The 27,095-nt window shown below is 40.0% G+C and overlaps 1 protein-coding gene across 1 annotated transcript in view; it reads right to left on the bottom strand.

Annotated features, from left to right (window-relative positions):
- Window positions 1-983: 983 nt before the first annotated feature.
- SAMD5 (sterile alpha motif domain containing 5) overlaps window positions 984-27,095 on the bottom strand; it is a 445,991-nt gene continuing 419,879 nt past the window's right edge. Inside the window, exon 2 of the mRNA XM_017010850.2 lies at window positions 984-8,192. Within this exon, the coding sequence (XP_016866339.1) occupies window positions 8,082-8,192 (111 nt within the window). The 3' untranslated portion in view covers window positions 984-8,081. The remainder of the gene's footprint in view (window positions 8,193-27,095) is intronic.

The following is a 27,095-nucleotide window of genomic DNA, read 5'->3' as shown; positions in this document are numbered from 1 at the left end:
GAGGGGGGAGGGATAGCATTAGGAGATATACCTAATGCTAAATGACGAGTTAATGGGTGCAGCACACCAGCATGGCACATGTATACATGTGTAACTAACCTGCACATTGTGCACATGTACCCTAAAACTTAAAGTATAAAAATAAGAATAATAAAAAATAAGGAATTATAGAATTCAAACAGTGCAATATTTTTTTCAGTCCCTATCAGTTTAGTTGGTGTTATACAAAGGTATAGAATTTACCACCAATAGTTCTATTAAATAATTCAAGAATTTCATAAAATTGTCTCCACAAATGGAAAAACTCATAGCTAACCCTCCAAACTGTGAATATCTTTGAAATGAAGAGGCAGAGGTTGTGGTGGGCCAAGAGCACATCATTGTACTCCAGCCTGGGCAACAAGAGTGAAACTCCAACTCAAAGAAACAAAAGAAGATAGTATCAAATACAGTATCACAACACTTAATGATAGGGACATGTTCTAAGAACTGCATTGTTAGGCAATTTAGTCATGCAAGCATCATAGAGATTACTCACACGAACCTAGATGGTATGACCTAGCCGTAACACACCTAGCCTATTAAGCTGTATAGCATATTACCATACTGAATACTGTAGGCAACTGTAACACAATGGTAAGTATTTGTGTATCTAAATATAGAAAAGGTACACTAAAAATGTGGTATAAAAGGTTAAAAATGGGCCGGGCTTGGTGGCTCACACCTGTAATCCCAGCACTTTGGGAGGCCGAGGCGGGTGGATCACGAGGTCAGGAGATTGAGACCATCCTGGCTAACACGGTGAAACCCCATCTCTACTAAAAACACCAAAAAAAAAAAAAAAAAAAAAAAAAAAATTAGCCAGGCGTGATGGCGGGCACCTGTAGTCCCAGCTACTCGGGAGGCTGAGGCAGGAGAATGGCGTGAACCCGGGAGGCGGAGCTTGCCGTGAGCCGAGATCGCGCCACTGCACTCCAGCCTGGGCGACAGAGCGAGACTCTGTCTCAAAAAAAAAAAAAAAGAGGTTAAAAATGGTAAACATGTACAGGGCACTTACCACGAATGGAGCTAGCAGGACTGGAAGTTACTTTGGCTGAGTCAGTGAGTGATGGGTGAATGCGAAGGCCTAGGACATTAGCGTACACTCCCATAGGTTTTAAAAACACCTTACACTTAGGCCACAATAAATTTATAAAAATAAAGTATGCTATAATGTTCCAATGGCTACCGTGTCACTAGGAGATAAGAAATTTTCAGCTCCATTGTAATCTGATGGGACCACCGCTATCCTATATGTGGTCCATTGCTGATCAAAATATCACTGTGCACCCCATGACGTTATCTCAACATTAAGTTGCTGTTTTTCAATCTGGTATCCTAAAATGGATTTGAATCACTTTCAGAATTGCAGGAGTATAGATTATTTTACTTACTAAATGTGATTCAATACAATTCGAGCTTAAAACACGAAGGTGATAAAATAATGACTGTATTTACTGAATAAAAATACTTCAGTGAAAACAAAGGAAACATATTTGACCACATACACACTTTTAAATCACAGTGTAAGTTACACTGGTAAAAAGTTATGTTACGGCCCATTCTGGAGTGTCTTTTTGGTAGCTTAACTCTGTTAACAAGCTGGTGTTTTATCTGTGAAATTTCCAAAGTGGCTCATCTATAAAAATATACTTAGAATTTCTTTTAGCTCTTTCTATGATAAAAATTTAAACGGTTTTAATTTTTTCTAGCAAATGATGATTATCTTTTGCAATATGAAGTTCAAATTTCATCACAATTATAAGTCATTCCTTGGTACATCAACCAGCAAAATGTACTGCACTTAAACTTGGGTGCCCAAAGATGTATTAGTGGCATAGACAAATAAACCATTGGATATGTTATGACCCATATTTGAAAACTTTTACACATTACACATATAAATATTTACATTTCAAATAATAACAAGCTTACCTACAACATATGTTAATAACTGAAGGCATATTATGATGTTGGGCATAAGCATAACTCTATGTTCTATATTTTGGCTGATTTTAACATAATCAAAAATAGGCAGAATTGGAGATTAACATAATCACCAAATAGTCTTGAAATGCATAGTTTCAAATTTCTTTAAAACTCAGTTTGATGCAATAGGAAGAGAATCAGATTGGGAGCCAAAACAGGGATGGTGTAAATAGAACACTAGGCTGGATGCTAAGATATTTTTCAGCCCTGACATTTCATGATCCTTTTATTCTTTCCCCACAAACCTTTATCTTCAGATTTCATATCCATTTATTTTTCCTGACAGAATTTCTGAGAGTCGAATGGCTGAAGTGGCCAAAGGAAGAAAGAGAAAAAAAAAAACCAAAATGAGAGAAATTGTAGCTGAATAAACCACCTTTGGTAAAGCAAAGATTTACAGTGGACTCTCCTGTTTTACACGGATTTAAAAATATCTGATTATTTTTCAAAATATGCCACACTTTTGAAAAGAGGACAAGGATTATTGACAAAGTAAACTGGAATTAGATGAATTTGGAGATCTTGACGCTTAGTATTACTGACATCAACTGTAGGAGGTTTTGAATATGTCAGGGTATTCAGTGAGGATAAAGGCACATTAAAAAAGAATACTATATGAAGGAAGGAGAAAAAATTAAAAATTAAAACATAAAATTGGTCAAGCTGTATAAAATATAAAAAGTCCTCTGAGGCATTTTATCATGATTAACATAGAAAGTTGTAATATTTTCAATTAAAAAAGGAGATAATACATTATGAAATGAAATGTAGGTCTCTCCAAGTTTTATTTCATATAGGTTCTTTCAAAGATCATCAAAAAAGGGCCGGGTGCGGTGGCTCACGCCAGTAATCCCAGCAGTTTGGGAGGCCAAGGCGGGAGGATCACTTGAAAGTCAGGAGTTCAAGACTAGCCTGGCCAACATGGCAAAACCCCATCTCTACAAAAAGTACAAAAAAAATTCGCGGGTGTGGTGGTGCATGCCTGTAATCCCAGCTACTAGGGAGGCTGAGGCAGGAGAATCACTTGAACCTGGGAGGCAGTGCTTGCAGTGAGCTGAGGTCACGTCTCTGCACTCCAGCCTGGGTGACAGAGCGAGACTCTGTCTCGAAACAAACAAACAAACAAAAACAAAGATCACCAAAAAAGGCTTAGTTTCAGCAATATTACCATAAAAATATTTTGGAATACCTTGATAGTATGTTCAAAGTGTTGACATTCATTCATCTCCATTGATACACAATTGATATCCATCACCATTAATATATCACGCCTACCCAGCAAAGGAAATAACATTAGCTGTTCACTAAAAACAATTATTTTGGGGGAAGGTTGGTAATTTCTTTAATAATCTTGATATATCAAATACAAGCAGAGTATTTTACTGGTACTGCATAGCAAACTGACTGTAAATAGCTGACATTCTATACTTACACATAAAGATGGCAATTTTGGGAAATTCTGAGTCCTCAAGCACCGATTTGGCATTCATCTTTTTGGACTGATTAATCAGCGTGCCTTGGACAGAGTAAGCCCTCTTACTCTGAATAAAAACTGAAAGAACTTCCTAAAGCTCTACTTCCCTCCTGTTGGTTCTCACCAAAACCAATTTCTAGCTTCATCATTACACTAGCAGCAGTTCTCAAGGGAAAGATTTCTCGATTGTTAATAGGTGTTACATGAATATGGCCCCCCTGCGTTAAATGGTGTTCTATGTATCCCGATGTGGCAGGAATTATCTGAAACATTACTATGCTAATACACATTAAGAGTCTTAAGAGGGGCCATATGGTATGTAGCAATCCCAAATACATTTATTCTGCGTCTGTCAGAACATCTTACGGAATGACTGCTTTGCCGAAATCACTTTGGGACTGTGGCTCTATATGACTGAAGCCTTTGGCCAATCAATCAAATTCCCCTTAAGTCTAGCCCCAGCCTTTCTCTATGCCCCTGACATAAGCCACCAAATAAAATAAATATCATTTTTATTTTTTTGCTGATCAAACACACAATCCCCTGGAACCCACACCAATCTCCTTGAAGGACACGCAGTGCGGTAGACACATTTTGATGTGCTTCTCTCGTTTGCATTTCTGTGTACTTGAGTTGCTCATTTGTGAGCCCAATGCACTGACCTGTCTGGTATAGAAAGGGCATTAGGGCTGTGATGGTAGAAATGAAAGAAAAGACACTTTGGGAGGCCAAGGCGGGTGGATCACGAGGCCAGGATATCGAAACCATCCTGGCTAACACGGTGAAACCCAGTCTCTACTAAAAATACAAAAATTAGCCGGGCGTGTTGGTGGGCTCCTGTAGTCCCAGCTACGTGGGAGGCTGAGGCAGGAGAATGGCGTGAACCCGGAAGGCGGAGCTTGCAGTGAGCCGAGATCGCGCCACTGCACTCCAGCCTGGCGACAGAGCGAGACTCCGTCATAAAAAAAAAAAGAAAGAAAGAAAGAAAGAAAAGAAACAAGAAACAAGGAAAGGTGAAAAGAAAGGGTCAGTTTGGTCTTTGATGACCAAATAGAATCCTGGAGTTGGGTTAACAGTCATAAAGGTCAGAATTGAGGGAGAAAAATTTTTTTAAGTCCTATTTGCTCTCACTTAGCACATGGAGAGCCAAGCCTGGCTACTAGATCTTAGAATTTATTACATGGCCTGAGTAGAAAGGTCTAGAATATGAGGTAAAGAAAGCAGAACACCCTTCCAGAACGACGGTGGGAAGAGAAAGATGTGGAGGCGAGGGAAACAGAGAAAGAAAACTTGACCTCCCCTCTCTATTTCAAAATCTTGGCAGGCAGGATTGTGAAATTTGGCTGAGAGCAATATTGAGGGTGAGGAGGATTTCAGCCTGCTTCCTGTTTGGGTTTTCGGGAACAGACTGTTTCCAAGAGTGCCTGGAAGAATGTGGGAGGTCCAAACGTTTGGATTCAGTGAGGAAACTTAAGGTCCCCAACACCTGAGCTTACCCTGCTGCTTTGGGGAGATGGCCCAGGTTTCCACTGTGCCCATTAGGAAGGAGGAGAAGGTTGTGCTGGCTGTGAACTTCCCAGCATGAACTGTCCCTGACAGCCTGGGTACAGGGTGAGGGTGGTCATACCAGGTCGGGGCCAAATGTGAGTTAGCTAGACCTCAGGAGGACGTATCAAGCCAGGAGAGGCAAAACCACAGTTCACAGCAGCAGTCTGAATGCCACGCACAAACCTTGATGCAGCTGAGTGGGTCCCAGCTAGTGCACACATGTGAACCAGCCCAATATCAGGAGGCCATGCTGAGGCTGGGGGCTGCAGATAGGCAGAGCAGATACTCTTCAGCCAGAACCTACAGGAAGTTAAGCTTTGCCTACTTTTTCAGGATGACAGAAGATGGTTTAAATGAGAAGAGATTGAGATATATTAAAAAGCAAATCCCAATTTCTCCCATCTGGTATGGTAAGAATGCAAAATGATCATATTAGTCATAGAAAAATAAACTGTGTTTTCTCTGCACGGCTAACTGCGTGAAAATTTCAATGCCTTCCCTTCTCCTAAGATGCTTGTTTTCTATTCCAGGCTTCATATTCCGTCTTGGTTTTCTATCTGTTTTTTGAAGTGCCTGACATGTCTTATACCTTCTGCTCTAACATTGTATCTTCATGAGGTTCAGGATACATCATATTTCTTATTATCAGCAAAGTACTAACACAAGTCACTAGAGGAAAGAAATTAATTACAATGCATTTCATAATTCAGTCCAATTCTACAATATATTTTATCATACTTGAATTATTTAAGAAATGCAGTATAACAAAATGAACCTAATAGAATTAAAAATTTAATGTTGAGGAAGTATAGTATCTTTTAGTTATCCATATCACATAAGAGTTCTCAAACAATATAGAAATGAGCGTTGTACAATTGTCACTTATATAATCATATAGTTGCTTTTACCCAGGAGTGGAAATCCAGTGTGGTCATTGTATGTTACAGATAACTAGACTGACATTTTTTAATAAGAAAAATAACGATATTTTAGATAAGTTTGCTGGCAGAAACTCTAGTGCATCTGATTTTAGAGTGGCAGTAAGTAGCATGTAGAAGCATTAGAAGTAGCGTGATAGAAATTAGGAAACCTAAGTTAAAAATAGACTTTATCCCAAATAAAGTGTTTTCAAGTTCTCTTTATAGTGAAAATAAAACTCAGCCCCCTCTCCAGCTTTGACTTTTCTGTGTGGCTTACCTGAATATAGTGAAATGAATTTAAAAATAACAAAAGATTTCTTACCAAACTGGGGTTACAGATTGGAACCATTTATATTACTGCGGTCTGAGTTAAGGGGATAGAGTTAAATATACTGTATTTGTTCACTCTTGGGTTTTTTCCCCCATCATAGGAGTGGCATAACTAAGTAGCCCCTGGCCTTTTCAAACCTGCACCACTATATTTCATTTACAGTGTCCAATAAGGTCAAAGGCAAATAATAAAAAACTCTCAGCACGGGCTAACTTTGTCAATTTAAAATGTGGTTCTCTATTCAGCCTGTTGTTAAGCAGGCTGTTCAAATAATGTCTTGGTTCACACGTCTGTGGGTCTCTGATAGGCTTCAAAGTCTGGGGAAAAGCCTATGCAAGTTTGAAATCTAACCTTCTTCACCCCTCCATCTTTCTGTCTCCTGTTTTCTGATCTTTTTAATCCAGAATCTTTAATAGAAAAATTCTATTGCAGGACTGCAAACAGCATGGGGTCAAAATCCCATATGGGTTATTTAAAGCAATGTCTGCGTCTTTTGAACGTTTCAAGAGCAGTTTAGTTGACCTCTGGGGACTCTTCTTCAAACATGTTCTATTAAACACACATAAACACAAGTAAAACATTTTAAGCTCAGATGATCAAAAGCAAAAATCAAAACAAAACAAAACAAAAAACCAAAAAAGAACCCTTCCCCCAAAAGGCAAATAGATCCAATGTATATTTAAAATAAAAACCTCTTTAAGCACCTAACTATACAGATATAGATATAGATATATCTCAGCTAAATTTATTAATGTAATGGCAAAATTTTGGGGGATGATGAACGTGAAGGAGAGGACAGCAGAATATAGCTAAACCAAATTCAATGCTTTTAAAGAACAATTACTTCTAACGGAACCAATAATCTGAACCTATAACGTAAGATAACAAAGGTCTATAGATATTACACACAGGGAAATGGAATTTCCTATATTCCTTTCAAAAGACAATGTGGTCTAGCATTTTCTGTGTCAGCTCAAAAAAGTGGGAGAGTCCACTATTATAAGAAACAAAATAAAATCATCAGATGTTGGGTATATTCAACTATGAAATTCACAGATCAAATGATTCGTGTTTTTTTTTTTTTCTCTCCTTGCAATTCATCTTCATCCTGGATAGCTCCTTGGTAATTCTTTTAAAGGAAAAAATCTCGGTATCAACAACATATCTAGAAAAACAGCAACTCTCAGTCACTAATTTATAGAAGGAATCAGTAAAATAATGTCTGTGCCAGTACAGCTAGAAATTTAGGGACATATTTGTTTCAGTAGCTTAATAAAAATGTTATTGAGAAGTAGGACTTAATCGCCACATTGTGCTGAGTACCAATGGAACATTAATACCGTACAGATGAAACCACCGTGACACAGGAGGAGGAGAACAGAAAAGCAAAGGAGGTTCTGGGTAACAATTTAGTCAAAATACTGGAGTAACACAGTATACGTAAGTAGCAAAAACTTCAGCAAAATGCCTCTATCTGGAGTTTTATGGTTTTATCAAAATCTGAATGGAGGGCATTTAAAAAATTCCAATAAAGGCAGAAAGAAGTAAAAGAAAAAAAGACAAGAAAATTCACATAAAAAGAATTTATGGAAGGCAAGTTTTCATCAACACTTAATCAGCCCCTGGGCTCTTTTCCAGACCGAAGAACAAAGTGTGTTGTAACTCCAAAGTAAGCTCTCAGAAAAAAGAAAAAATCTGAACAAGATTGAACACACACCAGCCTTCTCAGTGTATATCATTTCCAAAGTTCGCTTATGCTTTCTGGTTTGCCTTTTGGTTCTCACAGGCAATTCACATGCATCTTTGAAGTAGTACCTTGTACCAGAGCAAAACGAACACTTACCAGACAAATCAACACTCCCTGAAGCAATGAAGATAAAACACCACTTACCTAGGGAAAGAAAAAAGTAATACAGACATTAAGATGCTGTCATTTAAAAGCAATTGCAGCCGTTCTTAGATTATCCTAGCTCCTGTATTGCCAGTATTCTCTCAATGAACAGCATTAACTTTTTAGTAGAAAATCACGTTTTAATTTATTTATGGCCTAAAGGGAGTTTTGTGAGGAGTGAGCAAGTCTTCGACAAGACAGCACCATGTTGTTGCAAAAACTCTTGTGAGCTAATTCCATCCTAAACTACTGTAACATACAACCACAGGCAAGCAAAAGGGGGAAAATGTTAGCAGGAATCTCAAGGGAATAAAAACACACTCTTGTTTTTTATTCTATGCAGAGCAAAAGATGGTCAGAGAATCAGGAATGAAGTGATTTGCAAGGAATCGACATCAGGTTTCCAAAGGAAGGATTTGCCCCGTAAACGAGACCTCAACCATCCTCAGTTTGCAAACTTAGATTTGGCCAGGTGGTTTGTGGAATAACATTCAATTTTCTAGAAAGAAGCAATAACAATAGCTTATTGGCCCTCATATCTCAGATAAGTAATCATGAAATTAGGTATTTATGATTTCAGGTTAACTGTGATCCAAAATATTCAGAATTGTCAAGTTATTCAAAGTGTTGAATGTTGATAATTGGTATAAACTTTCTAATTTCAGTTGCTAATTAGTTATAAAGTAAAACTTTCTAATTTCAGTTGCTAATTAGTTATAAAATATAACTGTGGCTCTGTTACCTCAGCTACAGACCATGAAACACAGAAGAAAAAATAGCGCAGAAACTGTGCACTAGAAATTAAATTGTATTTAAAATTCATTGCAGTTGCAGTCTCCAGTACCTAAATAATTACTTATAATTGCAGTATTCTTAAATTAAAAATGCAAACTAGTCTGTTCTTTTACTTAAGTCTTGTGAAGATCAAGAAGGAATCCATAAAGATATTATAGAACATGAAACACAGCTGGAAGTGACTAGGAAACAAAATGAGGAAAGGGTTTCCAGGCAAAAGTCACCTCTACTGCTCCATGAAAAAGTTCTTAGATGCTCCATTCATTAATTTATTCCAGAGATGTTTATTGAATGCCTACTGTGTTTAAAAGATTATCTCAGGCATTGTATGAAAATCAGATACTTACAAAAACAACACTCATGTCCCTAAGTAGCTCACAGTCTAGGAGAAAAAGGATGCCTACCCACACATCAAGATGGTAGAGGGATACAGTGGTCAAAAGAGAGGTACAAATTAAATTGTGCTGACTGGTGTTAGGGTGGCCAGAAAGGATTCATGGAGAAAACTTGGAACATACTCAAGGGTTGGGGGAGAGAAGGGTGTGACATATCAGGTTGTATATGATATGAGTATAGGCAAAGTGAGATCTGCCAAATAATCTACACACAGTCCAGTTGGTAGCTAATTTTAAATTAGGAGTCTTTTATAAGAAAGTTGTGGGAAGAAAAGCTGAAAAAGCAGCCTAGGGCCATGGCTTAGTGGTCCTTGAATGCTCGGCTGACCTCTTCCTGTTCTCACCTCCCAGTAATAAGCTGGCCATGAAGAGACCAAAATGCATTTCTTCACATACACAAGCTACAACAACAGCTGTGACCACGTCTTGCTCTCTTTTTTGCATAACCCTAGTGCCTGGCACAAGGTAGGAACTCTAGAAACACAGTCACATTTATATGAGGGGACATGATAGATTGGCACATATTTGCTCGCTTCCTCCAACACAGAGCCAGGAGGAAGGTGGGGCTAACGTTCCTGCCACTGTTTACTCTGCCACCATTGTTCAGTCACCACCTCCCTTCACATCCACAACATCCACCTCATATACATCCCTCTCCAATAGCGTCACTTTTATTCATCACCCTCTAGGAAGTTTTTCTACTTTTCTGAAGGATTTTCTACTATATCCCTGACATCACCTCCAATGAATTCACCATCCTTAAGAAATAGTATTTTATTTTCTATTACTTGGCCAAAATTTTAAATGAGCATCTGACATGTATTTATACACGGATAAATAACGTTTGGGGGTTAAAAATCTGAAAATATATTGTTCTGTTCTTCAAGAAATGTACAATTTGGAGGTAAAGCATACACAAATAATAAAATATAAGGCAGCATGTGGTAAAATGATAGTACTGTAGAAATCCCAAGAAGATAGAGGTCAGTTCTGGCTGTGGATATCTTGAGCAAGGCAGCACTTGGCATGTGTGGAAGATGGATTGGGGTCTGATGGACAGAGCCACGGGGAGAGGAGAGGGATCACGAGGATGAAATAGTCGGGGGATAAAGGGCAAAGAGGTGGGAAAGTTCAGGGAACATTCTAGAAATGGAGAATAGGCAGGCAGGACTGGAGAGTTGGAGCTGTGGGACATTTGGACAGGAAGAGAGATTGGAACTGAATCTCTAAAGGCTTCCAGTGGACCACTATGGAGTTTAGATGCAATTGGCAGGCAATGATGGGGACTATATCTCAGTTGCGGAATATGTCTTAGGATGTATAAGACACATGAAGGGAGAAATCTATGTGAAGATGGAGGCAGAGGCTGGAACAATGGATCAACAAACCAAGGAATGCCAAGGCCTGCTGGCTGTCACCAGAAGCAAGGAAGAGGCATGAACAGATTCTTCCTCAGAGTGCTCAGAAGGAGTCAACCCTGCTGACACCTTAATCGTGGACTTCCAGCCTGCAGAACTATGAGACAATAAATTTCTGTTGTTGAAGAAATTTCGACAACAGTTGGTGGTACTTTGTTAGAGCAGCCCTTGGAAATGAATAGAGATTTGTGGACAGGAAAGAAGGAGTTATCTCTAAGAATCTTTGCTAGGATAGTCAATAGTTTTTCAGGATGGGAATTTGTATTCATTTGGGCCCTCTGAGAATCAGATGCTAATATGGTTTGGCTGTGTCCCCACCTAAATCTCATCTTGAATTCCCATGTGTTAGGGGAGGAAACCGGTGGGAGGTAATTGAATCACGGGGGTGGGTCTTTCCCATGCTGTTCTCATGATAGTGAATAAGTGTCATGAGATCTGATGGTATTAAAAACAGGAGTTTCCCTGCACAAGCTCTCTTTCTTTGCCTGCTGCCATCCGTGTAAGAGGTGACTTGCTCCTCCTTTCCTTCGCCATGATTGTGAGGCCTCCCCGGCCATGTGGGAGGCCATTAAACCTCTTTCTTTTGCAAATTGCCCAGTCTCAGGTATGTATCAGCAGCATGAAAAAGGACTAATACAGATGCTAAGAGAGGATTAAACATGCAAGGGTTTTCTTAGGGGAGGAGATGTATGTGTGTGAATGGGTATAGTAAGGAAGCTGAGAGAGACAGAGTGAGAGAGGGGGAGGGAAAATTGGATGGAAGCTGCCTCAATCACAGTCTATGGAAGATCTGGCAAAGCCACTGGGGAGTCCTTTACCTTCTCCAGAAGTAGCTTCCTTGGTATCCCCATGTGGATCTGGGCTTGGGTGATGATCCCAAAGGGCAGCCCTGGTGCCCTTGGTCCATCAGGAGTCAGCACATTCTCACAGCCTCCCAGCAATCAGAGAGCCAGGAAAAGGGGCCAGGAGAATTATGTGCACTGAGATGAGTTCAGTTTTTACACATGCAGAATTTTAGGCACCAGCTGTAAATTCAGGGGACTGGAAAGGAGGTTTGGTTGGGGTGCAGGTGAGAGGGCAGGAGTGAGATTTCTGAGTCCTCTGAAAAAAGGCTGTAGTCCCAGGAGGCTGGTTGACATTATGAAGGATAAGAATATAGCAGAGAACAGGAGAGATCCTTATGAATATGATACATTTGAGGAGAGGAGTTAGGGAGAGGAGCAGAAGGAGGATCCCAAACTATTGAAGTTTGCAGAGGTGAGTGAGAGAGGCAGGGGACCAGCCAGGTGGGGCTGCAGCTTTCTGGGAGCCTAGGGAGGAGGTTCGCTAGGAGGAGGAGGAGGAGGAGCCCTCAGAATGAAATACGCAGAGCAAAGGAGGAGGAGGAGGATGGAAGGATGCCGTGGGTTTTGGGGATTGGGGGACTTTCAAGAAGCAGATTGGGGTGGGAGTCTGCTTTCATGGGAGAAGAAATGAGTTGTGCAAGGTTGAAGCTTAGAGCAGCAAATGCAGACACTGTATTTTCTATTTTCCTTGTAATGAGCAGGAAAGATACAGTAGTTGAGGGGGAAAAAAACAACCAACTTTCCAAGGAACAACATTTGGCATTCAAAGATGACATCTAAAAACACAGATAAAATGATGTTCGTGCACATACAGTATTTCTCATCTCCTGATCTGTCTATAAAACATGGGTATCTGTTCTGGGATTCATACTCTCAGGCAAGATGAAGCAATAGAATGGGCCAGGAGTGGTGGCTCACACCTGTAATCCCAGCACTTTGGGAGGCCGAGGCGGGTGAATCACCTGAGGTCAGGAGTTCAAGACCAGCCTGGCCAATATAGCAAAACTCCATCTCTACTAAAAATAAAATAAAAAAAAATTAGCCAGGCATGGTGGCGTGCACCTGTAATCCCAGCTACTTGGGAGCCTGAGGCAGGAGAATCACTTGTGGCAGCGGCAGTGAGCCAAGATTGTGCCACTGCACTCAAGCCTGGGCGACAGAGCAAAACTCCATCTCAGAAAAAAAAAAAAAAAAAGAAGCATTGGGAACAATATAAGCATTACATACATTTTTCCTGTTGTGCTATTCCCAGTATTTAGATTGTAATCAGAAAGAAAGAGAAATTATTCACCATCTCTTCATTCTTCTGTCTAATTGCGGATTCTCTTGGCAAGCCCCTTAGGGGTCTACAGCTGGAGCTGCAGCTTTTCCACAGGAGCCTCTTAGCCAAGGATGAACAGATCAGTATCTGCATATTGTAGGAGACACTGGGCTTCCACAGCCACCACTCTGACCTCTTCAGTAGTTCACAGCTTGAAGGGCTTCCCCACACAGCGAAGAATGCCCTTCTATTCTTTGCTGATTGTGAAAAGGTTACTGAGAAGTTAAGCAAAGCATTTAGACACACAGATGTTCTAATGTCTAAAGTTCAAGTCGAATAGGACATTTGATCACATCTTACTTATATTTGCTTTTATTTTGCATCTTTTCAGGGAGTCCAATTGTTAGAGCTAAGCTGAGACCCAGGAAATGCTAATTCTCCGCAAATCTGAAAGCTTGGGAGTGCCAGATCTGGAGGTGATTTCTTTCTGGTTCTCATTTCTGTGCCCTTCCCACTGCACTGCCTCAAATGGAATTCAATACCATCTATTAGTAAATGTGCCCATTTAAAAAGCTTCACACAGCCAGGCGCAGTGGCTCACGCCTGTAATCCCAGCACTTTGGGAGGCCGAGGCGGGTGGATCATGAGGTCAGGAGTTTGAGACCAGCCCTGACCAACCAACATGGTGAAACCCTGTCTCTACTAAAAATACAAAAATTAGCCAGGCGTGGTGGCAGGCGCCTGTAATCCCAGCTATTCAGGAGGCTGAGGCAGGAGAATCGCTTGAATCAGGGAAGCAGAGGTTGCAGTGAGCCGAGATTGCACCACTGCACTCCAACCTGGGTGACAGAGCAAGACTCCATCTCAAACAAAACAAAGCAAAACAAACAAACAAACAAACAAACCAACTTCACACACACACACAATTTTAGTTTGAAATATTCTAAATTAACTTCCAAAGTACTATGATTTTGTCACTATATTTTAGAAAAAAATGTGTATTTTGTTTATGTAGGTTTCTGTTTTAAAATACCATTCTCATTGAGTTGCTCTGTAATACAAAGCAATATATCTGAAGAACAACTGCTGAAAGGATCAAACCTCACACACAGGTTGTTTTGATACTGTTATGTTGTGGTATTCACATTTTTTGTTTATAAATGTTAATTTTGCATGAAGTAAACAGATACGGTACCCCTAAAAAAAACATATTCTATTTCAGTGTGAGTTATTACAGTGCTTCGGCTATAAACTGAAATGTAAGCAGTTGAAAGCCTCCATGATGTTAAACCACTCTTTACTGTTACAAATGCAGGCACGTTTGGAATTCCAGTGCCAGGGAGGGTTCCAGCTTCATACAGCCAAGCCCTCCAGAGGGGAAATCTGCCAAAGTCCCTTTAACCACATGCCTGTAGGAATTTGTGCACTTAATTAAATGCACATACCGAGTAGGTAATCAGCAGAGTCACTGTTTATTCACACACATGGCCCTGAATCACCAGATGGCATGCATTAGAGACCTACACTCCCTGATGGCGTGCTGCATCATAGAGAACACACTAAACACAGGTAGGTATTGCCTCTAATATTGTGTATTGAAAATAGACAACACAGATACAGTATAAAGAAGAGGATAATCCTATACATACTAGTAACTTGAAGAAAAAAGTCTTTAAGATGTTTCAATCAGTAAACATTCAAGAAAGATGTTAGAGTAGTTGACTGAGCATCTGTTTTCAGGAACCCTGAAAACATGTTATGGCATAATTGAATTAACCATACATCTTTTTTTTTTGGAGATGAAGTCTCACTCTGTTGCACAGGCTAAAGTGCAATGGCGCAATCTCGGCTCACTGCAATCTCCGCCTCCGGAGTTCAAGTGATTCTCCTGCCTCAGCCTCCCAAGTAGCTGGGACTACAGGCATGCACCATCATGCCCGGCTAATTTTTGTATTTTTAGTAGAGACGGGGTTTCACCATATTGGCCAGGCTGGTCTTAACTCCTGACCTCAAGTGATCCACCTGCCTTGGCCTCCCAAAGTACTGGGATTCTAGGTGTGAGCCGCTGTGCCTGGCCTGCCAGACACTTTTGAACCATAATTTGCCTTTGACCACAAGATGATGCAGCAGATACAGTTTTTGTGGTAAAGCAGAATACATGATACTTGCTGACACTGCAGAAATATTTCCTAGTAGACTTTTCAGGTCATAAAATTTTCCCAAGATTAAAGTTCCTTCATGATAGAATAGTGGATTGTGCCAGAAAAGCTGCAATGCAGCCCACCTTTTCATTCACAAGTGGACTAAGTAAAAGCATACAGCAGGGCGCTGTGATGAACACGCTTTAAGGTGGCTTCAACTCCTGGTGCTCATGCCCCGTGTGTGTGATTTGCTTCTAACTAGTAGAATATGGAAAAGGTGATTCCACCCCCTAAACTACATTATGTTATATAAAATCCCATCCTGCTGGCTCTGTCTCTCTTTCCCTCTCAGCTGTTGGCTTTGAAGAAGCAAGCTGCCATAATTCCTACTGTTGCAAAAAAAAAAAAAAAAAATGAATTCTGCCAATGACCTGGGAGAGTCATCTCTTGACACTGATATTCTCCTCCCACAAACATATATGCTGCTCCTAGCTATATACTTTACCCACAGAAAATCTTTCGTAGCTCCCAAAGTGGGTCATACTATCTAACCTCTGGGCTTTGCAGGTGCTGTTCTCTTTGCCTAAGACACCTGCTGGCTGATTTCTATTCTCCTTTAGAATACAGCTCCGATAGTACTTCGCTAGGAAATCCTTCCATGTTCTAAACTGAGCTAGTTCCCTCCCAGATGATCCCATAACATCATATTCTTACCCCTATAGAAATATGTCTTGGTCCAGATACTTTCGGTAATAATAGAACTTCATTTGAAACAAGGCAAGGCTAAAAAATTAAAAAAAAAAAAATGCTGGGGTATCTCATAGAACCTGAGGCAAAGTTGAACAACTGTGCCTCTGGAAAGGTGGGAACCACTTTGTTGTCTGGGAAGCCATTGGAAAATGGAACTACCGATTGCTTGGTCTCTTTCTCTTCCTGTGTTGAGTCCTGAAGTCTCTTGCTACTATTTCTCCTCTACATCTCTTACATGTCTTCTCTCTCTGAAGGTCAGATTGCACTGTTAGGCATCTCCACGGCAGGTGTGATAAATACATATTTTGTCTTTGTCCCTAGGTTTCTGGCATACAGCTTCCTAATGCCTTGGAATTTCTTGGGTGATAGGAATATCTTTTGTTTTAAAGACGCAACTCTTGGTTGGTCCCTAGATAAAGTGAGGATGAGTGCTGGCTGCCAGAAAGACCAAGGCATGATTAAAGGGTTGGAAGTTTTACCCAACCTTCCCTTCCACACCCACCCTCAACCTCCAGGGAGGGGAGGGGGCTAGAGACTGAGTCATCAGTGGCCAATGATTTAATCAATCATTCCTACATAACAAAACCTCCACAAAACCCCTCAACAATGGGGTTCAGAGACCTTCAGGGCCAGTGAACACATGGAGGTGATGGGTAGGGGCTCAGAGAGCCCAGGGAAGCTTCTTGACCTTTGCCACATGCCCTGGGCATCTCTTCCAATTGGCTGCTTCTGAGTTGTATCCTTTATGATAAACTGGTAATGGTAAGTAAAGTGTCTACCTGAGATCTGTGAGTGATTCTAGCAAGTCATCAAAACTTAGGAGGGGGTTGTGGGAACCCCAGACTTTGCATATAAGTCAGAGAGTGTGGGTGCCCTAGTTACTTGATCCTAGTGACTGGCATCCACAGTGAGGGCAGTCTTGTGGAACTCAGCCCTCAACTTGTGGGGTTCATGTGAGAACTGAATTATAAGACAACCAGTCGGAGTCCAGATAGTTGGAGAATTGGTTGGTGTGAAGAAAAAACCCATGCATTTGGTATCCAAAGTGCTGAGAGTAAAAACAGTACATACCAAGTCGACCACTCCTCCTCCACTGGCCCCATCTGCTATTCACCCAGTTCAAGCAACCTACTCTGATACGCTAGCACTTTATTTCTCAACTCTAATACTAAAAGAAAGATATTCTGACTCACCAGTTGGAATACAGTGCCATCCTTGAAATAATCACTACAGCTTGGAAACATAGTCCTATATTTTAACATGGCTGTCAAGGCCTTCCCTTGTGGGTAGTGGGCTGTTCTCAGCCCAGCGAATGAGGATGGGTGCTGGCTGCCAGAAAGACCAGAGTGTCAGCTTATCACATCACATGGCAATTGTCTGCTTATTGGTCCATCTCTCCTACTAGTCTATAAACTCCATGAGTGTAGAGTTTGTACCATAATTTCCATTGAGCATCCCTTGTCTGATAGATTAGTAGCACAAAAGAGGTACTCACTAAATATCAGTTGAATAAATGAGGAGTGTTATCTTTTTCGTTTGATTAATACACTTTTAGTACTGTTGTCAGTAATGAGTTCTTTGATCTTTTAATGAAAGTATTAAACAAAAAAAATGTTTCCCTCCATTGTCATCAAAACAGCTGGCTAGGGAACTGAGAAACTGAAGCTCTGCTTAGCATAGATTAGTGATGAATATAACTGACTCACTTCTCCCCATTACATACTCTCTGATATAGATTAATCTCCTACTTTAAGCCAGTATCTCCTAGAAGTTGAACACAAGGCATAGGTTCATTGAAGACTCAATCACCTCTTGAATTACAAAGAAGTTTTACTTCATTGGAAGCTCTACTATTATTTGTAAATGACTCAACTTAATCAACCATGAATTTTCTCACTGAAAAATTCCCAATTGTTAAAGTGTCTTAAAGAGCTTGAAGTACCAGACCCTAGAAAAGCTGTGTATGTTTGTGTATATATATATGTGTGTGATTTTTAAATCTTGATTTTTAAGGCAAGCACCTGAGATAAGTCTTAGGCAATTTGAACTTAAAAAAAAGATATATGACATTATCAAATTTTCTTAAATCTATGGTGCGAATTAAAATTCTTATATACATATCTGATACTCACAGTCTTGCACTGAGGATAGTTTTAACCCTCTGGTTATTAAGAATTTTCCTTGATACTTTCCCAGGGGAAATTCCAAAGGCCATGTTGTCTGTAGTTTGAACCATTCCCCTGAAACGTAATTCTTTTTCCTAGCGAGTCCTGCCTCATTATTGCAAAACAGCGATCAACAACCCCTGCTCCCAAGTCTAAGGAAATAACATCTCTGTAAACATTTTCCTGACAGATGAAGCTGGACTGCTAGGTCATCCTCAGCCTAGGAGGATTCTAAAGAGAGTCCCTATCTAAGTTGGTACTTACTGGTCAACCAATTCCAATAAGCCTAGTCTAGGAAACCTGCAGAGAGCCCTACTTTAAGGAATGGTTAGGCTTGTGCTGTTACAGATGACATAAGCATGCCTTGCTAGAGGATCCAAATTTCCTTAGCTCTGGATGATTCCTGGACTATATCTCTTAGTCAACAAGAACAAGATTCCTCTTCTGGAATTTGGCCAATGAAATTTCAAAACAAAAAGAACCTAGAGGCTTTTTAAAGGCTTTAAATATTATAGCCTTCAGTAACTCTTGACTATTCTTTGTCTGATAGGGTAAATGGCAGAGACAAAGGTGGGTTGGTGGTATTATCTCAGTTGTTGAGGATTAACTGTTGATTCCCAGGATTATATGACTAGTATTTCTATCTTCCAGGCACTATTCAGGTCCATGGCAAGCAGGATCCAATTTTTGTTGACACCATGTATCTTTCTTCCTGCCCTCGTCCTCCCCTCAACACACACACTCACATTTACACAGTCCCTGTTCATGCCCATGTCATCTGCTCTGAAGACCTGAATACCAAGACTGATGACGTGTCACATAAAGGTACTTTCCTAAGGCCCCAGGAATGTATTTTCCTCAATGAAAAATTTCCTGCAAACTTCTTTTGGCATGAAAGCTGGCAATGCTAGATGGAAGATGAAGGGATAAATTGGAAGACAATGAATTGCCTTTCTACCCTGGAGGCCATTGGCATTTTCTTCTCTTTGCTTGTGATTCTGTTAGAAAATCATCTTATTCTTTTAATTTTAACCTTATGATGGTTGACGTAGTTTGGATATTTGTCCCCAACCAAATCTCATGTTGAATTGAAATCCCCAGTATTGGAGGTGGGATCTGGTGGGAGGCGATTGGATCACGGGGGTGAATTTCTCATGACTGGTTTAGCACTATCCCCTTGGTGCTGTCCTCATGATAGTGAGTTTTCATAAGATCTGGTCATTTAAAAGTGTGTGATCCCTCCCCCTCCCCCACCACTGCCCCTCGCCACTCCTGCTCTCACTATGTGATGTGCCTGCTCCCCCTTCACCTTCTGCCATGATTGTAAGCTTCCTGAGGCCTCCCCAGAAGCAGATGCTAGTGCTATGCTTCCTGTACAACCTGCAGAACCACCACGAGCCAATTAAACTCCTTTTCTTATAAATTACTCAGTCACAGGTATTTATTTATGGCAATGCAAGAATGGCCTACTAATACAAGGGTAATAGTCAGACCAGGGAGATTAACAGGCTGAGAAGAGTACAACATCCTAAGGGCCTTTGAAATGCTGCCTAGCATACCTCTAGGAAAGTTTTCTCTTCCCCATCTGTATCGAGAAACTACTCGTGACTGTGACTTTACTCTCTCTTGAACTCTGTCAGCATCAGTAGGGCTGACTCTCCTGGTGCCTGGTTTTACAAGGACTGCTGGTTAGCAAGTTTGTGCAGCAATATAGGAAAGAAAGCTGGCTAAGGCTACCCAGGGATTTCTAAATTTAAAGCTTACAAACTTATTGGCTCTCTCTCTCCACTCCCTCTAAATTCTTCAACTTTGTGGGAAAACTTGAGTTTAGCCCCAGAATTACTAATGTGGTCAACTGTGAGACATAATTGCACAGGGTGTGACTCTGGCATAGAACCTGGTAGATAACTTAGCAGTTTGCTTTTCCCTGGCTTATAAAGGATAGCAAGTTCCACAGATCTAGGGAGACCTTGTCAAGCTCATGCAGTTGACATCACAGTTCATTCTAGAACCATATCTTTTTGGTTTCTCCATTTTAAAATACAGTTTCATAAAAGGAGAATGGTTTTACGTGCATTCTTTTTTTCTTAAAAAACCTTATTCATGATATTGAAATACTTAAAAATTCTGCTTTAATAGACATAGTACCAAGAGGCCAATTCGTATGATGTTAAGTGTGAATTATATTCTGTAGGACATCACCTTAACTATGAAATATGTTGGCTTATGTTATTCCTTCTCTACTTTTGCTTCACATTACTAGTAATAGCTACAGTGTCAGAGGTAAAGTTGCCCATTAGTCATCTTTAAAACAGTAATCCATGAGGACTGGCCCATAATTTGGGTAGTGATGTAGCATCGCATCTATTAACCCCTTTAAGCTTCATCTTCCTTCAAGGCCATATGATATCACTATGAAGATGTGCCCACTAGTCCTGCAGTTTGACTGATCTTGAGAGGCAGGCAGAAGACATACATACCTAGGATGTAGTAGCATTGAGTCAAGCTCAACTGCCGATACCTGGATGACAACACAAACCTACACAGAGTTTGAGTCTATCTATTCCAACCTTTGCACAGGCCAGTCACACTGGAGACACTTGCTGTACGTTTGCTAAATCACATTGCACGTTACGAACCTGAATCAGTAAGGAGCAATGTCATACATTTGTTTAATGTAGCTGCTGCCTTGGCATCCATGTTTAGTCCTGACACAAGTTGTCTGAAACCTGAATGAGCTCTATGACCTTTGGCTCACAAGGAGGGAAGTTCAAACTTCCCCCCTTGTATGGTTGTTTGCAATTTGGCCCACTTGTTCCTTATCTCACTGACTCAAAAGCTGACATATCCCACAGCTACTGACCACAATAAAACCTAATGGTCAACAGCAGAATCATGTAAATATGTTTCCCCCTTCATGCACGTTTTCTTCAAACTAGCTAATCCACAATCCCCATGAGAGCCTGAGGGATAATGCCTATGGACCTTAGTATAGGCAGAATCTCACAGGTCCATAGGTTCTGTTTTGCTCCCTCTCTCTCTCAATCCTCTCTCACTTTCCCATCCACTGGTTATGTTCCCTGCTGCCTCTGGACTTCCCATCAGTCCTCCCCTGCACTCCCCACCACGTCACCCACCTGTCATTACCCCTTACCTATCTGGGACTTGTGAGTAACAAATTTCTTCCATTTCATGCATTTTCGTTTCACCTTCTCATTGTGTCTCACCTGACACACACACACCTGACCTAGTCAGGGGTATCCTACAGAATGGTGATTTTTCGCTTATGGCCACTCTCAAGAGAGACCTTGGAACCAAGTAAAATAAATGAAAGTGACAACATACAGTCAAATGTTGCTGAGTGTTTTCTGTTGCCAGAAGCATACAGTTATACCACATTTGGTACTTTACATAAAGATTCTAATTTTTTTCAAAGTTGTAATATAAACAGTTAAACACTTCTAGCTATGTGGGAAAATTCTCCTATTATAGAATGACTTCTTTCCTAATCAGTGAAGGCAACAAAGGTTTGCAATGAAGTGTCTTACCTTTCCTCCTCCCCCATCAATATCTTTAAATGTAAAATGCTTATAATACAAGGATAAATATGTTTCCCACCAGACTCGGAGTGGGTGGGGGAATTATGCCTCATTATAGGATATATTTTATGGGGGGAAAGTAAATTAGAGGCTTATATTAGGACGTGCCCAGGGGCACACCCATGGCAATGACCTTTAAAGAGCAGTATTAAGTTACGTGACAGCATAACCAGCAAGTGAATGATCTCACTATGAAAGGTCACCTGCAACTTGAACAATATTTCCTATTTTGGCACATAATCTGGTACCTTTTGACACATTTCTCTTCCTCAGGATATGATTTTTGTGAAATAGACCCAATGCATTTTCTCTGCTTTGTAATGAATGTGTCCAATTTGTGCTCATGGTAGTACAGATGCCTGTAAGCAGCCCTTGCTATTTTTGTTGTTTTTAATGCTAGATATTAAAAAGTGGCATTTGCATTACTCTAGGATATTTTGAGATGTCACAGAATTTTAGATTGTTTGGAATCGAAAGGGACCTCTAAAACAACACCTCAGTCTAACTCAATCCTTTTACAAATGAAGACACAAAGCTGGATAGGAATGAAGATACTTTGCCTGAGGTTATACAGCAAAGAAAGAGTAGAATTCCACTTCCCTATTCCCTAGCCTGCTCCAGTTTCCACCCTAATACAAGCTCTACACGTTTGTCAGCAAACATTTAGAAGAGGGGATTAGCAGTACCCTATGTTGAAATTCCTGTGAAATTCCTTAATTGGGTGTCTCTCTTCAATAGTCCCACTGTCTCCTATCTTCTTTCTACATTGTCACTTTCTCAATGGATTCCCAAGAACCTAACTTTGTTCCCCATGCAGATGTCATGAGGCATGTCTGGCAGGTCACTGCTTTTGTGTCTAATCTGATTGCATGACTTTATGCTCAGAGTCTTCACTCATTGTTCTAATGTGTTGGACCACGAGCATAGCTTATCAAATCTCCTATCCTGGATGATCATTGATGCTTCTCAATCTTCTGTTTTGTGATGGAATTTTATCCATACTATTGGAAAGGAGGAAGAAACTGTGCAAGCTGTCAAGTGGCTCTGCTCTTGGTCAAAGATCCTAAGTTAAACAGAAAGGCTATTATCAAGCTGGTTTAGATCTTGCTTGCCATTTTCCTCATCGGAGATGAAAAAATTGATGAATCTTATGCCTCCTTTAATGTGTAGTTTAAAATACTGTTTTTACATAATCATCATGATTTTCCTACAGAAATCAATTTACCGAAGTTCAAGAAAAGCACATCAGTCATCGAATGGCTATTCAGATAATGTTCAATAGGCAAACCCATTCCCTTTCCATCAGTCAGCAGACTCTGCCTGAGTGTTTACCATGAACACCAAAGTGAAGGGAAAATACTCTCTGTGGCTACCCAGCCATTTGTAAGTTCAGCTGGTGCAGGTGTGGTGTGCCTCATTTCCTCTAAGATTGAGCAACACCTTATTTTCATTCCCCTCCCCCAACACACACACACACACACACACACACACACACACACACACACACACACACAATTCTGTAAGACCTGACACAGCTCTATTTTCAGTTCAAGGAGAGAGGGTAAGAGTTGGGAAGACAATAATTTTAGTATTTAGTATTTGCTTGAGTTAAAGTATTACCATTCACAGTGTTTGCTAGGAAAAGTAGAATACCCTTTGATGACTGCTGATGACGTAACTGCACACCACTTTGTGGGGTATCTGAGTACATTAAGTCCGCTGACACTCCTGGGTCCTCCAAGCCATGGTTGAGCCTACTAGTTTGTGAGTCAGGTTCAACATGATCAGCTGGAACCCCCTGGCTTTCCCTCTCAGGATACCCTAGGACCCAGCTCTCTGAAAAGTCCCCTCTACCCTGACATATTTTGTTGCAGGTCTTTGCTCTTGTCTATTTAATGCCTTTGTACTTCAGTTTGTTTACTTACAAAATAGGAATAATGCTTGTCTTATCTGGTTCCACAAATATGCTATATATAATGATAAAACAAGGAAACAGAAAAGTGCTTTTAGCATTCCAGAAGAAAGGGACTAATTTAATGCTATTATACAAGAAAATATTACATCACGACATTTCTCTACCTCTTTATATGAAATAGAAATGAAAGATAGATGTGGAAGATTTCTGTGAAAAACATTTAGAACTCAGGCAAAGTACTGCTTTAAGTATTTCATTCAAAAGTGCCAAGAAAAATACTATGCTTATTGAACTGTATATTTCTATGCAATATATCACTACAGCATTGCATATTTTTGATATGCAAATTTCTATGAAACCAAAGATGTTTCAAACATCCTCCTCTGATTGCCACAGGCTTTTGTATAATACAGATAAATACATAATAAAATTGTAATTCAAAGAAGAATGTTCTTATCAAAATGAACAGACTGGCAGCATGTTTCCTTGCTCTGCAGCACAACAAAAATTTTTATGAAATTCTGTAAGTTAAATATGAATTTATTGATTTTTGCCACTTCTTGTTCAGAAATATATTGTATCAAAGAGAGAAATGCATTCGTCAATGTGACTTAAACAGCCCAATTATTAATTTCTAGAATGTCCATCTTGAAACCCAACTATGATACAGGAGGTAACTAGACAATTACCCTTAAGGACAGGATTGTCAGGCAAAGCTGGACTTAGGTTCTGCAAAAGAGAAGACAGAGATTATACTTCTAGTAAACAATTTTGAAAAATGAGGGCATTTTAATATAAATGCAAGATATATGTGCTTTAATATGTTTGAAGGAGAGAGCTGAATAAGGATGGGATATTATTTTATTTGAGAAATAAGAGAATGATCACATCCTATTTTTATCATAACCAACCCAGAGTTACATCCTCTGCATCATTTTCACCCCCACACATTTTTAAAGGGTAAGAAAAAATAGATTATTTATGATTATTATACTTTATCTCACAAAGAAAACTCTTTTGCACCAGGAAAGTCAAAACTTTTCTCCAAAAGCCTCTATTTGGAATGTTCTTCTGTCATTCTTGTAGCAATGGGAGGCAATACGACCTCAGTTCAGAGATTCTTTAAGAAAACTGGTAACTCCTGTGATGGTTAACATTAGCTGTCAACTTGACTGGATTGAGGATGCCTAGAGGGCTGGAATTGTTTCTGGGTGTGTCTGTGAGGGTGTTTCTGGAGGAGACTGACATGTGAGTCAGTGGACTGAGAGAGGAAGACCTGCCCTCAGCGTGGGCGAGCACCATCCAATCGGCTGCAGGCACAGCTAGAACAAAGCAGGTGGAAGAAGGAGGACATTCAGCTTTCTTTTCTTTTTTTGCTCACACTCTCTTTCTCTCTTTTGTAGCAGTGTACCCTTTCCTCTTCCTGCCTTTGCACATCAGACTCCAGGGTCTTTGGCCTTCGGACTCTGGGACTTGCACCAGTGGCCTCTCAGGGGCTCTCAGGCCTCTGGCCTACATTGTCAGCTTCTCTAGTTTTGAGGCTTTCAGAATTGGACCAAGTCATGCCACTGCCTGCCCTAGGAGCCATGCTACCAACTTCTCTAAAAGCCATGCTTCTATCATTCTCCAGCTTATAGATGGACTATCCTGGTACTTTTTCATCCTCTGAGCCAATTCTCCCTAATAAATTCCCTTTCTTTATATATTATAGAAACGTGTGTCAGGAAACCAATATGTTTCCTATTGGTTCTGTCTCTCTGGAGAGACTGACTGAAAATCGGTATGAGGAGTGGCTATAAAGACACTTGAAAATGTGGAAGTGGCTTTGGAACTGGGTAACAGGCAAAGGTTGGAAGAGTTTCAGGACTCAGAAGAAGACAGAAAGATGAAGGAAAGTTTGGAACTTCTTAGAGACTAGTTAAGTGTTGTAACCAAAATGCTGATAGAAATACAGATAGGAAAGGCCATGCAGAGGAGGTATCAGATGGAAATGAGGAACTTATTGGGAACTGGAGCAAAGGTTGCTCTTACTAGGCATAGCAAAGTACTTGGCTGCCTTGTGTCCATGCACTAGAGTTTCGTGGATGGCTGAACTTAAGAGGGATAATCTAGGGTATATGATAGGAGACATTTCTAAGCAGCAAAAGGTCTATGACATTTAGTGGACAGATGCCAGGGATGCTGCACAATCTACAGTGTGTAGGAGAGTGCCATACAATAAAGGATTTTTCCTCACATACATTTTAAATGCTGTACCAGACATTTATGTAGGTGAAAACTGGTTTGTAACTAACTTAACCCAGAATCAAACTATTTCAAACATAAATTACTTTTGGCTAAGTTTTCAGCTACACTAAATTTTCTAGGAATTTAAGTACTGTGTGTATCAAAGGAGAGCTGTACTTTCCCCCCCAATGTTACCAAGATTTGTTCACCAATTCAGAAAATCCCATCAACAGTGATAATCCAGTAGCAGAATATAAGTTGCCAACATAACCCAACTGCATCAGTCTGCATTTGTAGATGTCATTCTACATACAAGTGTGACCATCTGACATAATTATGCCCACCAGTGATGCCATGTCTAAGCATTACAGATTGCAATGCATATTATTTTATTATAATTTTTCCTTTTATTTCTTCATTTTGGTAAGTTTTAGTTTGGTTTTTAAAAATATATGCATGTTAGTTATATCATTTATGAATTACATTTCAAGGTGAGAAAGATAAAATTAGAAAATATTTATATTAAAACGGGGTGTTAGGTGTGATAGGGTTGAGACCCACTGGTGTAAATAAAATAGTGCATCAGGAGATTTGGTTTCCTGCTGTCTTGGCCAACCATTATGTGGCCTTAGAGAAGTGATGTTATTTCCCTGTGTCCACTCAATGGAAATGATTGGCTGAACTATGTCTCTTACAGCACCTTCTAATTTTAAATCTTGACTACCTGACTTTGACACCAGTTTAGGTTTGGGAATATTTAAACCCATTAAAAAAGTGAAGACAACTGAACTTACTGGGCAAAGTAAGTATTTTGGAACCAGGACAGTGTGGTTCTTTGTGACACATATGTTGAATGCATTTGAGTGACTGCTCTAGTTAAAAGACTACCATGAAAAACAATCCTCAGCAAATGCAAAAGAACCAAAATCACCACAAATGTACTCTTGGACCAATAAAAATAGAAGTCAAGACTAAAAAAAAAACACTCAAAACCACATAATTATATGGAAATTAAACAACATGCTCCTGAATGACTTTTGGGTAAATAATGAAATTAAGGCAAAAATCAAGCAGTTATTTGAAACCAATGAGAACAAAGATACAACATACCAGAATTTCTGGGACACAGCTAAGGCAGTGTTAAGAGGGAAATTCATAGCACTAAATGCCCACATCAAAAAGTTAGAAAGATCTAAAATTAACAACCTAACATCACAACTGAAAGAATTAGAGAAGCAAGAGGAAACCAAGCCCAATGCTAGCAGAAAACAAGAAATAACCAAAATCAGAGCTGAAATGAAGGAAACTGAGATACGAAAAACCATTCAACATATCAATGAATCCAGGAGTTGGTTGTTCAAAAAAATAGTAAGATAGGCCACCAGCTAGACTA

Source organism: Homo sapiens, chromosome 6 (assembly GCF_000001405.40).
Source record: "Homo sapiens chromosome 6, GRCh38.p14 Primary Assembly".
NCBI lineage: Eukaryota > Metazoa > Chordata > Mammalia > Primates > Hominidae > Homo > Homo sapiens.
This window is presented reverse-complemented; position numbering and strand designations above follow the sequence as displayed.